Source organism: Homo sapiens, chromosome 3 (genome assembly GCF_000001405.40).
Source record: "Homo sapiens chromosome 3, GRCh38.p14 Primary Assembly".
Taxonomy (NCBI): Eukaryota; Metazoa; Chordata; class Mammalia; order Primates; family Hominidae; genus Homo; species Homo sapiens.
Genome location: NC_000003.12, coordinates 164,598,357 through 164,612,137, shown reverse-complemented (window position 1 = coordinate 164,612,137; position 13,781 = coordinate 164,598,357). Strand labels below are relative to the sequence as shown.

General features: G+C 33.3%; 1 long non-coding RNA gene across 9 annotated transcripts in view; it reads right to left on the bottom strand.

The window, feature by feature from the left end:
* LOC105374191 (uncharacterized) overlaps positions 1-13,781 on the bottom strand; it is a 237,185-nt gene that overhangs the window by 75,734 nt on the left and 147,670 nt on the right. For 7 of the 9 annotated variants that reach the window (XR_924663.2, XR_001740998.2, XR_001740999.3 and 4 more), the window contains exon 2: positions 3,070-3,146. This is a non-coding gene — a long non-coding RNA (uncharacterized LOC105374191). Of the gene's footprint in view, positions 1-3,069; positions 3,147-4,700; positions 5,361-13,781 lie in introns of those variants that run through there. The other 2 variants (XR_924660.3, XR_924662.3) reach the window with 2 other exon arrangements.

The following is a 13,781-nucleotide window of genomic DNA, read 5'->3' as shown; positions in this document are numbered from 1 at the left end:
CACAGTAAAATAAATGATCAGATAATATACAGGAATTGTGTATTAAGTCTTTCTCACAATTGGCATTTCTCAGACTTCCCTTTTTGCCATCAGTTGGAGAAGGCTCTCTATTTTTAAAACGATTCATGTAATTAAATCAGTTCTTCATACATTATATCTTCATTTTAAGGTTTATTGTGTGTGTGTGTGTGTGTGTGTGTGTGTGTGACAAGGTCTCACTTTGTCACTCAGGCTGGAATGCAGAGGCACAGTCACAGCTCACTGCAGCCTCAACCTCCTGGGCAAAAGTGATCCTCCTGCCTCCACCTCCCAAGTAACTGGGACTACAAGCATGCACCGCCATGCCCAGCTAAGTTTTTTATTTTTTTCCGGAGAGAGGTCTCACTATGCTGTCCAGGCTTGTCTCAAACTCCTGAGCAGAAATGATCCTCCTGCCTTAACCTCCCAAATTGTTAGGATTACAGAGTGAGCCACTGTTCCTGTCCTAAGGTCAATTTCTTATTTGTAGGATCTGAGGATAAGGTCAGGACATTGTTGGGGTGCCATTCTAAAATTTTGCCTAACACAATCGAAAAACCAATCATTTACTAATTTAAAAATATCTAAGATTATGCCCGGGCACGGTGGCTCACGCCTGAAATCCTGGCACTTTGGGAGGCCGAGGTGGTGGATCACGAGGTCAGGAGATAGAGACCATCCTGGCCAATATGGTGAAACCCTGTCTCTACTAAAAACACAAAAATTAGCCAGGCTTGGCGGCGCGTGGCTGTAGTCCCAGGAGAATCGCTTGAACCTGGGAGGCGGAGGTTGTAGTGAGCCGAGATTATGCCTCTGCACTCCAGCCTGGCAACAGACTAAACTCCATCTGTAGATAAATAGATAGATAGATAGATGATAGATAGATAGATAGATAGATAGATAGATAGATAGATAGATAGATGATAGATAGATGATTCTATACCTAAAAACTCAATATCAAATTTTATAAAACTTTTCTTTAAAGAAAATTTAAAAGCCAAGAAACTTTGTGACTGTATAAAATTAAAATCAAGTGATATTCATTTGATTGTTAAAATTGAAGTCTATTACTATTTATTCTGCTTTTGTAATCTTAAGGTGACATACAGAGAAAGACATAAAAACTCTTCTGGTATAATAAATAAATTCTGTAGTAATTAAGATTTCCAGGTTAGTATTATCATAGATTTGTATTGTATGTCTGATAGGTAATATTCATACCTCAAATATATTTTAAAAAGTAAAATTTAGAATAATTCATCTTAGTGACAATAGACTGAATAGTGGATAATTGAAGTGGTGAAAAGTATTATTAGAAAGACATTTCTGTATATGAGCTGATTATCTTGTGAATATATCATATTGAAAAAATATAATGAGAAAAATCAAGCCATTCATGCTTAAAATTATAATTTTCTAGGAATTTTTAAAATATAAGCTCAACTGTAAGGCAGGAAATAATTATGTTTGAATAACATCACTTTTCAGGATTTATTTTTATATTTATGTGAAGATTGCACTTCTAATACTCTTGGATCATTTGAGAAATCTCTGCTGCATATCATCTTTTATTGTTCTTACATCAATTATAAGGCAAATATATAGATTTTAGGTTCATATTCCCAAGATACTGATGTGAACTGGCTCAAAAATAATATTTTATGTGGAATTTTTTCACTACTTTAACATACGTAATATTACCAGCTATTATCAAATATACTTAATAACTTAAAATCTTTGGCTATAATTATTACTGTGGCATAGGACTCTGAGGCTTCATCATGTTGTTAAGCACTACCTTTAAAAGGTAATCATTTAATTTAATTTTTGAGGAACTGCTGAACTGTTTTTCACAGAGGCTGCAATATTTCACGTTCCCACTAGCAATACACAAGGTTTTCAGTTCCCTACATCTTTGCCAACACTTATTGTATTCTTTTTTTAATAACCACTGTTGTAGGTATAAAGTAATATTATAATATTGATCTGTGTGTCCCTAATAACTAATATGTTGGGCATCTTTTATGTGCTTATTGGCCATTTGTATATCTTCTTTGGAGAAATGTTTATTCAAATTCTTTGCCTATCTTTTTAAATTGGGTTGTTTGTTGTTTAGTTGTAGGAGTTCTTTATACATCCTGGATATCAATCCTTTATCAGATATATGCAAGATATATTCTGCCATTCTCTAGGATAGGTTTTTACTGCATTGATAACATCTTCTGATGCACATGAATTTTTTAATTTAAATCCGATTTATTATTTTTGCTTTTCTATGTGTTTTTGGTGTCACATCCAAGAAAACATTGCCGAACTCAATGCAGTGAAGCTTTTCCCCATATTTTCTTCTAAGAGTTTTATAGTGTTAACTCTTAAGTTTAGGTCTATTGTTCTCTTTAGTTGCTACTTTTATAGGTACAATGTAAGGGTCCAACTTCATTCTTTTGCATGTGTATATCTAGTTTGCCGAGCATTATTTGTTGAAGAGGTTTTAATGTAGTAACTCTGGAAATCTGATTCTCCTACTCCCCAGCGATCACTGATTTTGAAAGTTAATGGTAGGGAAATTCTTAAGTAACACAGTTTTCAATTAAATTAAAAATCCTAGTGTTTAAGATAAATGTGGCCAAAAATTTCGTCATGACATATTTTTTTAACCCAGATATTAAGGAAAGCATTATTGCAATCTTGCATTATGTTTCTTTTGAAATTTTTGTATATTTAAGATGCGTTCTTGAGAGAAACTTAGTATGGTTATCACAATAACAAAAAATAAAATTGGCATGGTTACTGTAAATTAATCGGAAACCCTTTCCTTACAACTGAGATGAGCTTTATTTGGATATGTTAAACTAGGAATTTCTGGATTACGTGAAACCAAGAGCTGTGTATGGTGTTTTAAAAAATTTAGACAAATTAAAGTTAGCAGAGTTTATTCCAGCACAAATGAGTCCCGAATCAAACAGCACCCCGGACCAAAAGAGTTTCACAAAACCACATCAAGCAATGTGGTCAGGCAGTATTTGCAGACAGAACAAGAAAATGACTTACGGAAACAGCTTGATGGATTACAGCTCAGCATTTGCCTTATGTGGACACAGTGTGATCAGCTGGATGTCTGCCATGGGCTGAAGATACAGATACAGAAATATATTCTTAAGTTAGGTTGCAGTTTGTTTACATACTAATTCAGGTTGCAATTTGTTATGTAGGAACACAAAGTACCAAGGAAGCCTCAGACTAAATTTAGTTTAATTTAACATTTCCCTTTCAAAATTGAAAGGATGACCAAAATCCTGGGCATTGATAGCACTCTCTGTTACCATCATAATTGACTTCTTTGTCTCAGTATGGAAGTCACAATTCTTGATAAGTCAGCTGAATGTTTCTTTACGTTCTCTTCACAGTTTCACTTTTCTAACCGTAGTGAGACAATTTGATGTATAAGGGATGGCTGCATATGAACTTTCAAGACTCTTGAGAAGATATGAAATTCCAGGTACACTATTATGATAGCTATTAGGCGAATAATACTAGGAGACTAAAGTATACTCTTTAGAAGGAGCTCCTGTAAACCAAACTGATGAAAATCAAATAGATAAAAAATGAGCCAAAAGAGGAATCTACTTGTTTTAGCCAGGTATCTTGTTGAGTTTTAACCATAGCAGGCATATTTATCCAAGTGCAGTAGGAGGTGTTAGCTATGGCACACACCTCCTCTTCAGCCAACAGGCAGGTTAAAGCAATTGTTTGATCTAAAACAATTTTAGCAAAAGAAGTTTGCTGGGCAACTGTAGCTTTTGCAGTGGAGTCAGTATATTACCTAATGTTTGAAACAGATCTTTAATCCTAATCTTATTTACATTTAGCCAGAGAAGGAGCATTCTCCCAAAATATGCCCATTTGCAGGAATTTATGCCTGCTGGCAAATTCCTTTTTATTCCATAGTGCAAATTAAGAGGTGTTCAGTTTCCAATTTGCTTTGGCGTGACAGTGGTACTATTAGAATTTCTAATCCACGTTGGCCTCTAATTTTCCACTTATGGGTACATGAAGTTGCCAACACGTTGAGCATTAAATCCTGTAGAGATAAAGTATATCCTAGTGGGGCACAACAGACAGGTCCCTGGGAGATGCCTTGTGCATTAGGGGTCACAAGCAGGGAAGCACTAGTAATATTTATCTGAGGCGCCATTATTATATGATTACCTGGTTGGAGGCTACTGACCATTAAAGGAATAAGGTGATACATTTGCCTCTAAATTTTCAATTATCCTCTTTTTTTTTTTTTTTTGCTTTCTTTTTTAATTTCTGGCATAATTTAACTGTAAAACCCTCATTATACGTTTTTCCTACTGCATCTGAATGCCTGAAACTAAAAGTGTAATCTATAGAAAGTGTAATCCTATAGAAGAAAACACGCATTCCACTTGGAATATCAGTAAAATTTGTTACAGGATAAACCAAATAATCTCTAATAGCATGTAAGGATTTAAGTTTATCATGATATAGCTAACATTCAGTTACGTTTCCTGTGGAAGCTATTGATTAGGAAATCTTAATTATCTTGCCATACATAAACGGAAAAGAAACAGGCAAAGAAGACAGGGGAAAGAGATTTTATGATGGCAGAGGACAGAATTCTTGATCTGTAATCTTAGGAAAGCTGTCTAGGCTGTTACCTGGTTTTGAGGAAAAACCACTCTTGTTAGTTTTACCTTGGGGTCTTCAGTGGGTTTACAGTCCCAAGATTCTGAAGGGGTTCTGTTAGATTGAGAAAAGTGGATCTAAGCCTCGAGACCCTTAAGTTATACTGCCATGTGGGTAGAACTTGGTATGGTCTCTTCCAACAAACTTCGAAAGCAGTCTTTTTGTGGTATAATTTCCAAAGACCCAATCTTCAGGTTCTAGGTTGTACATGGTTAGATTGTTGTTGGGTCATGAAGGGCTTTTACCTGGTGAAAATATAACTGGGCAACATGCTTTAAAGCCTGGCAATATTGAGTCATGTCACAATTCATGAATGTGAGATACATGAAGTTCTATTATTAGGGGCATAGGCCTTCCAATGACTATTTGTAAGGGGTCAATTAGTGTTCCCCAGTGGGATTGGATCTGATTGCCATCAAGTGATAATACCTTTGGCCAATCCAATTTATTCAGTTAGATTCCTGGATGCGATTGTGTTTGAAATACTTGACTATTTTGCAGCTCGTTCAGTAAAATGAGCACCTCTATCACTGGAGTTTTCTCCAGGAATATTCCATAAGCAAGCCTATTTTCTCACAAAATAATTATGTATTTAACCAGAGTGATAATCCAAAAAATTCAAAGGCAAATACAGTAAGTAACATAGTTTTAGGAAAAAAAAAATTAACTTTTTAATAGAGAAGACTTGTTTTTTCTTAAATGATAAAAAATCAAATAATGACAACATTAAGTGCAAGATATCTTGGTAAAATACTAAATCTTTGTTTCCTAGGCCAGTTTCTCAAAAGGTAAAGGAAAACCTTCCACAGTTTCATATTAAGAGCAGTTCAATACCCTAAGAAAATCTTTTTTGTTAACAGAGAGGACCAAATTCTAGTTTTACATGAGTGTACTTTTGATGTTAATCTTAAAGTTTTAGAAACACTTACTAATAATTCCCTTCTAAAGTTGATCACATATAAAGTTTCTTTTACAATATTCATCTTTCATAAACTTCCATAATCTTCTTTTATCCTTTTGGTTATCTGTCTTATATTTTTGCTTTTTCTCATTTTGAAATAACTATTATACTCTAGGATAAAAATTACTATTTTTCCCTTAAAAAACACATATTTGATTTAAGCTTCACTTACCAAAATCATGTCTTCTGTTTCTCATCTAAGAAGTTGTTTCCTTTTTTATTTCTAGTTTTAATTACTATATATTAATTAGAATCTTAATTCTTAGCAATTATGAATCAGGATTTTGTAGATTAATGAACTTTTATAATTTCTGGAATTATGTGTTTCCTCAAAGTGTAAGTTCTCATGTTTATTAACAATCCCAAATATATTCAGTTTCTCTATACCATATTAAAAACAATATGGCAGAAGTACAGAAACATAAACCTGTTCAGCAATTAATGTTTTGGCATTATATTTGTAAATAATCTAGATGCTTAATGAATATCTATCATTTAATTTAACTTAGTAGACCTCCAATGGTGTAAGTTTCCAAAGAGATTTGTAAGGCTATTTTTAAGTACACGTGTCATAACCCAAAACAAAGCATGGCACCCAAGTTATTTCCTTGCTAATTACTTTTACTGCATATGCATCTTATATAGTCATCACAAAAGTAATGAACCTAAAGAGCTAGAAACAAGATTTTTTTCATGTTTAGTTGCTGTCCTTGATATATATGAAATAATGGATATTATACTTCAGCTTGCCCATTTGTTCTTAACTTGAAATTATAGTTTTATTATTTTAAACATCTAATAAAGATACAACTTATTGGTCTGCATCATACTTAATGCTGACAACTCTGATGACATGCCTGCTTGCATTACACCAACAATATTTTTATTGATCAAAGATCACCTAAGTCATGTGAACTTAAAAAGAATTTGGGTTAGTAATTATTTTTCTGAAAGAACAATTAGTGTATCTATTTTTAAAGCCAATTAAATAAAGCTCTTTAACAATGTAACTTGACAATATAATAAGATTTTTGAAATCACACATAAACACCATACATTCAGACATAGACAGACATATTAAAAAAACATGTGTCCAGTACAATACTACAAAACTTACTAATTGATGAAAACATCCAGATTGGATCTGATAATTAAGTAGACTCAGTCGTGAAAAGCTGGAGAGCCTAACACACAAAATTGGGAAGCTCTAATATGAGAGAGAACTCACCCATAACCCTAATTGCTGTAAGAGATTAATGGACACAATGATCCCTGGAGGTTACCTTTGCTTGGTCACTTGATGCTCCTAGGGTTGATGGAGGTCTACATTGGATCTAAATACTGACACACCAAACTGTTACAAGACTTTAGATAAATAAATTTAGTAGAGTTTATGTGATCCCAGAATGATTCATGAATTAGGTAGAAGCTTGAACCAGCTGAAGTTCAGAGCGCTCGACCCACTAATGTGAGCAGGTCATATTTATAGATAGAAAAAGAAAGAAACACACAAAAACAGCTTGATTGATTACAGCTGGGCCCTTTCCTTATATGGACATGGTCTCATAAGTTGGGAGCCTGTGATCGGCAGAAGTTTGGTTGCTGTGATTGGCTTAGGCCCAGCTAGTTGTTCAAAGAATGTGCTCCTTGGTTAGCGTGGAGTTTGTTTGCATACTATGTTAGGTTACAGTTTGATAGGCAGGCAATGAAAATACAAAAGCAGGCTTAGGCCAAATTTAGTGTAATTTAACAATGGTGAATCAAAAGCAATATAATATCCCCGAGTATCAGTAAAAAGTGCTTAATAAAAAATAGTCATGATTACAGGGAACATATTACCTACAAATTGTTATTGTAATGTTGCAAATTTGGCCAGCACAAAGCTGGACAAAACCTGGCAACTGAGAAGATTCAATGTGACCTAGAGATGGCCAATATTATTTTTGGTGTGTGTGTATGTGTTTTAATCTTATCATGTAAAAACAATTAACATGAGATTTGGCCTCTTAACAGATTTTAATTGTGCAGTACAATATAGTTATCTATAGGCATGATGTTGTACAGAGGATTCTTATAACTTAGTCAGCTAGAGTAATTGAAATTTTATACCCATTGATTAGTAAATACCCCTTTGTCCCTCCTCCAGCCCCTGGTAACCACCATTCTATTCTTTGCATCTATGAGTTTGACTATTTTAGGTAACTTATATAAGTGGGGTAATAACGTATTTTTCCTTCTGTGACTGGCTTGACTTAACATAGCAATAATAGTAGACTTCAATATCTCACTTTCAATAATAGGTAGAACAAAGAGACAGAAGATTACCTAAAAAACAGTAGACTTGAATAACTATAGATTACAGGTACCTAGCAGACCTATTCAAAACATTCAAGCCAACAATGGTGAAATATATATTCTCCAAGATAAATCACATATTAAGTTACAAAACAAGTCTTAACAAATGTAAGAAGGTTGAAACATACCAAGTGTCTTCTAATCACAATGGAATAAAACTAAAAACCAACAGCAGAAGAAAAACTGAAGAATTCACAAATATGTGAAAATTATACAACATATATTTGAACAATCTCTGTGGCAAAGAAGAAATCAAAAGGGAAATCATAAAATATTTTGAGAAACAAAAATTAAAACTCAATATGTTAAAACTTATGGGATGCAGCAAAAGCAGTACTAAGCATAACAATTTTGGCAATAAATATCTATACTAAAATGAAGAAATATTTCAAATAAACAACCTAACTTTGTATCTCAAGGAAGTAGAAAAAGAGAACAAACTAAATGCAAAGATATCAGAGGGAATCAAATAATAAAGATGGGAGCATAAATAAATAAAATAGAGACTACAGAAACAATAGGAAAAATCAACAAAACTCATAATTAAGAGTCAATTTTTAAAATAAATAAAATTGACAAAACTTTAGCTAGACTAAAAGAGAAGACTCAAATGAATAAAATCAGACATGAAAGAGGAGGCATCACAGTTAGTGCCACAGAAATAAAGAGGATCTTGAGAGACAAATATGAATAATTATCTAACAATAAAAACTAGAAAATCTAGAGGAAATGAAAAACTTCCTAGAATTCAACGACCTACAAAGGCTAAATCATGGAGAAATAGAAAGTCTGAAGAGGCTTGTAATGAGTATGGAGATTGAATCAGTAATGAAAAACATCCCAATAAGTAAAAGTCTAAGATCAGATGGCTTTACTGGTGAATTCTGTCAAACATTTAAAAAAGAAATAATGTCATACCCTCTCAATTTTTTTCAAAAACATGAAGAGAAAGAAACATTTCCACATTCATTTTAGGAGGCCAGGACCACCCTGATACCAAAACCAGATGAAGACACCAGAAGAACATAAAATTACAGGCCAATAATCCTGATGAACATAGATGCAAAAATCCAACAAAGTACTAGCAACCAAATTCATCTGTACATTAAAATGATCTTACATAATGTCCAGCAATAATGTCCAGGCATGTTTTATCCCTAAGATGCAAATGTGGTTCAACATAACCAAATGTATAAATGTGATATACAGCATTAACAGATTGCCTCAATAGATGCAGAAAAAGCATTTAAAATTATTAACAAGCATTAATAATTTTAATGCTTATTAAAATTAAGCATTTGACAAAAACTCCCAACAAATAAGGAATATGAAAAATTACCTCAACATAATAAAGGCTTTATATGAAAAGCCCATAACTAACATTATATTTAACATACTTAACGTTCATCATAGTTTGTGAAAAATGTTTCAGTTTTTACCGTTAAAAACTGAAAGCTTTTTCAGTAAGACCAGGAATAAGGCAAGGATGTCCACTTTTCCACTTCTATTAAACATGGTATTGGACATTCTGATCTGTGAATTAGGAAAAAGACATAAAAGTCATCCAAATCAGAAAGCAGAAAATAAAATTGTCCCTGTTTACAGATGACATGATGTTATATGTATTATAATAGAGCATAATTAAAAGGAAAATAAGAAAACAATTTTATTTATAATAGCACTAAGAAGAATAAAATACTTGGGAATAAACTTAACTAAAAAAGTGAAAGACTTTTACACCGAAAACTACAAAACATTGATGAAAAAAATTACAGAAGACACACAAAAAATGGAAAGACATTTTATGTTCATGGATTGGAAGACTTAATATTGTTAAAATAACCATACTGCCCAAAGTCATCCATAGATTCAATGCAATTTTTATCAAAATTCTGTTGACTTTTTTTTACAGAAATAGAAAAAACAATTCTAAATTTTACATGGAACCAAAGAAGACAGCAAATAGAGGCAGCATACTTCCTGATTTCAAAATATAAAACAAAGATATAGGAATTAAAACAGCACAGCACTGGCATGAAGATAGACATACTCATCAATGGAAAAGAATAGAAAGCCTAGAAATAAAACCACACAAAATAATAAATTTTCTACTTGAAGATCTGATATCATTGATCTATAAAACTGGCATCATTTAATTATTTGCTATGTTCTGCTAACGGGCTATCACAGAAGTAACCAACTCCTTATTGAGTACTTGACAAAAGGAAACTATGTTCTATATTTTTTAGATGCATAAAATTAATTTATCTAAATGAAAAATCATGCTTTACAGAGTGTAAGCAATAGTACTTTCAGCAGTTGCAACCCTTTGTCTTTTGGAATGGTCTTCCTAAGACTACTACATTTCACAGAAGGTTGAATTATCAGCCTAGGAAAATGTCCTAAGCCAAAGGAAGTATCTGGATAGCTACTGAAAATGCTTTTGCAGGCCAGGCGCAGTGGCTCACACTTGTAATCCCAACCCTTTGGGAGGCTGAGGAGGGTGGATCACTTGACGTCAGGAGTTCGAGACCAGTCTGGCCAACGTGGTGAAACCCCGTCTCTACTAAAAATACAAAAATTAACTGGACGTGGTGGTGCGTGCCTGTAATCCCAGCTACTTGGGAGGCTGAGACAGGAGAATCACTTGAATCCGGGAGGTGAAGGCTGCAGTGAGCTGAGGTCACACCACTGCACTCCAGCCTGGACAAGAGTGAGTTTGTCTCAAAAAAATAAAATAAAATAAATAATAATAAATAAAAAGAAAGAAAAAAATCCCTTTGACAAATTATGACAGTGAGATAAGTCTGACATAGTTGACTCCATCATGCTTCTGACCTCTAAACCATCCTTGGTCATTCCTGGGCGTAGTAGGCCAAGCAAACTTTGGGAGGAATTTAGCTTATAGTTTAATCTTAAAACAAGGATGATAGTAGTGCTTCCCAAAACCAAACTGAGTAGTTTCTGTAATCCCTTACTCCTCAGGGGTTATGTGGCCAGAGGTCACAAGATGTGTGACCATTCCAGCTGCTTCTATAAATAACATCGTTATTGTAGAACCTAAGATTGTGTTTTTGAGATGTTTTCCAGAGTGAATACACCTGGACTTCTGACTCATGATTCAATTGATCTTGTGGCCCCATCTAGAATTATATACCATTTCGATTAATTATGAAATGGCATATAACAAAAAGTCCCATTGGGTAGGTAGTCTAGACCACTAGTTCAAGCTATTCTATTGTTTGTATGTTTTTTCCCTTAAATACTTTTCAAATTCTGTGATATCTGTTGGCTTAGCAAGTATTTATTTGCTTATAGTGTAATGAAAAATCCAATGTGTTCACAGATGCATTTTCTGATTAATATTTATAATATAATTTTAAGGAATACTTGATTTTGGACAATCTTAACTACATTCATCCTGTTTCCTTTTTTTAACTTTTAAAATTGTAAAGTTTTTCAATTAAAAGAACACATTAAAATTATGCTTATGAAATATATATAGATGAAATTATGTGTGGTATTTATTATAAAGTAAATCAGGAGGGAAGTCATTAGGTATACAGATAAAGCTAGTGTCATTGATGAGTAAATGGGAGCCCATTACATTATTCTCTCAAATTCTTTATATTTGAAATTTTTCAAAATAAACAGCCACAAATAATTATAATCCTATTAGAAAGTAATTGCTTAGAAATATTTCTGACTTTTTCCCAAAGTTACCTATTTGAATCTTTTTATTATGTTACATGAGATCAAAGTGTTTTAAAAATTATACTTGGAGTCTGAGTGCAGTGTCTCACACCCGTAATCCCAGCATTTTGGGAGGCCTAGACAGGCAGATCCCTTCAGCCCGCGAGTTTAAGACCAGCCTGGGCAACACGGCAAAATTCCATCTCTACAAAAAATAGAAAAAATTAGCTGTGTGTGGTGGTGTGTGCCTGCCTGTTGTTCTAGCTACTCAGGAGGTTGAGGTGGCAGGTATACATGAACCTGGAAAGTCGAGGCTGCAATGAGCTGTGATTGCGCCACTGCACTGCAGCTTTGGTGACAGAGTAAGACTCTGTTTCAAAACAACAACAGAAATAACAAATATGTGTGTAAATACACACATACATATTATAGTACTGAAAGGTTAGAAGTCACTTCCTGGCTACCAGGAATAGTTTTTATATTTTGATGCATCAATCTTCTTTATTAGTATATTTCTTTCATTTTTTTCACCTAAGTTCAAGTTATAAGATTGTAGCATCAGATATTAAGAAAAATAATATATCTCACTGGTACTAAGAAAGATCATTATGTATTATTGGGTATACTAAGTTAAGTACATTAGCCAAATATTTATGCCAAAGTAAATATTAAAAGAACAAAAACAAGCAAACCTAAATTATTTTTATTGTTTTATTTCTCCCTTATTAAATCTAAAGATAAAAGAACACATGTGTAGAGTAAGCAAAACTTTCTAATTACTCTCTTAAGCCCTAGCTGGGCCTGAGAATCAACTTGGTATAAGATAGATTCACAGACAGAAACCATTCAAATTTATTTAATGAAAGTTTTAGATAATCTGGGAGCCTTGGTAAATAAGTAAACACCCAAAGCAGTAGTAAGAACTATTTTTTTTTAAATTCTAAGTTGACCAATGTGAAGTAATTTGTGTGTGTGTGTGTGTGTGTGTGTGTGTGTATGGGAATGTAACTAAAATATGTGGGGAGACCAATGAAGACAACTATTTGAAAAAAAGATTGTACAGAAAGTTTTCAGTTTTAACCTCCATTCCTTTATGGTAAATATATATATATATATATATATATATATATATATATATATATATATATATATTTCCTGTTTTCCTTTTTTTCTGAGACAAGTCTCTCTCTGTCACTCAGGGTGAAGTGCAGTGGTGTGATCTCAGCTCACTGCAACCTCTACCTCCCAGGTTCAAGAGATTCCTCTGTAGTAGAGACTGGGTTTATCCATGTTGGCCAGGCTGGTCTCCAACTCCTGACCTCAGGTGATCCACCTGCCTCAGCCTCTCAAAGTGCTGGGATTACAGGTGTGAGCCACTGCGTCAGACTGGTAAGAATTTTTTCTTTTATCCTCCTGGCATAGAAAAGGAAGCTTTCATATGGAAATTGTATTTCTTATTTTAAAAGAAAGAGGATCAGAGTACTCTTCTTACATCTGCTGTTTTTCAAATGGCTTTAACTCAAAATAGTCAATTTGCTAGAGTAGCATATTTTCAGGTGTCACATTCTAATCTCCTTCACATGCCTTTAAAAATTTTGAAAGCCACATACCTGATCATTTATCTTTGTTTTGATTAAAGATTTAATTAAAATGTAACAAATACATAGCTCTCTCCCCATTCAATATGTTTTCTAGATATTCTCTAACTTGTTATGTACAGGCCTTTTTAAGGTCTTATATTATCTTTGCTAATGTTCATTATGTATCAGAGAATGACTCATTAGGTTACTGTATTTTTGAATATACAGTTCACCTACATGCTGACATTAATTTTTAATTACAAGTTTTACAAATAGAACTGCTGTCCCCCTTCCTGGTTTTGTTTCTATTCTCTGAATGAATTTATTTTCCAGTTGAAATTCACAAGTTATATACATATTTTTATGACTTTTCTAAATATAAAACAAATTATATATCTAAAAACTTTTAAAACTCCTACAATGCAGAGAAACACCTAGAAATAACCTCAAAGGAAGAAACTATA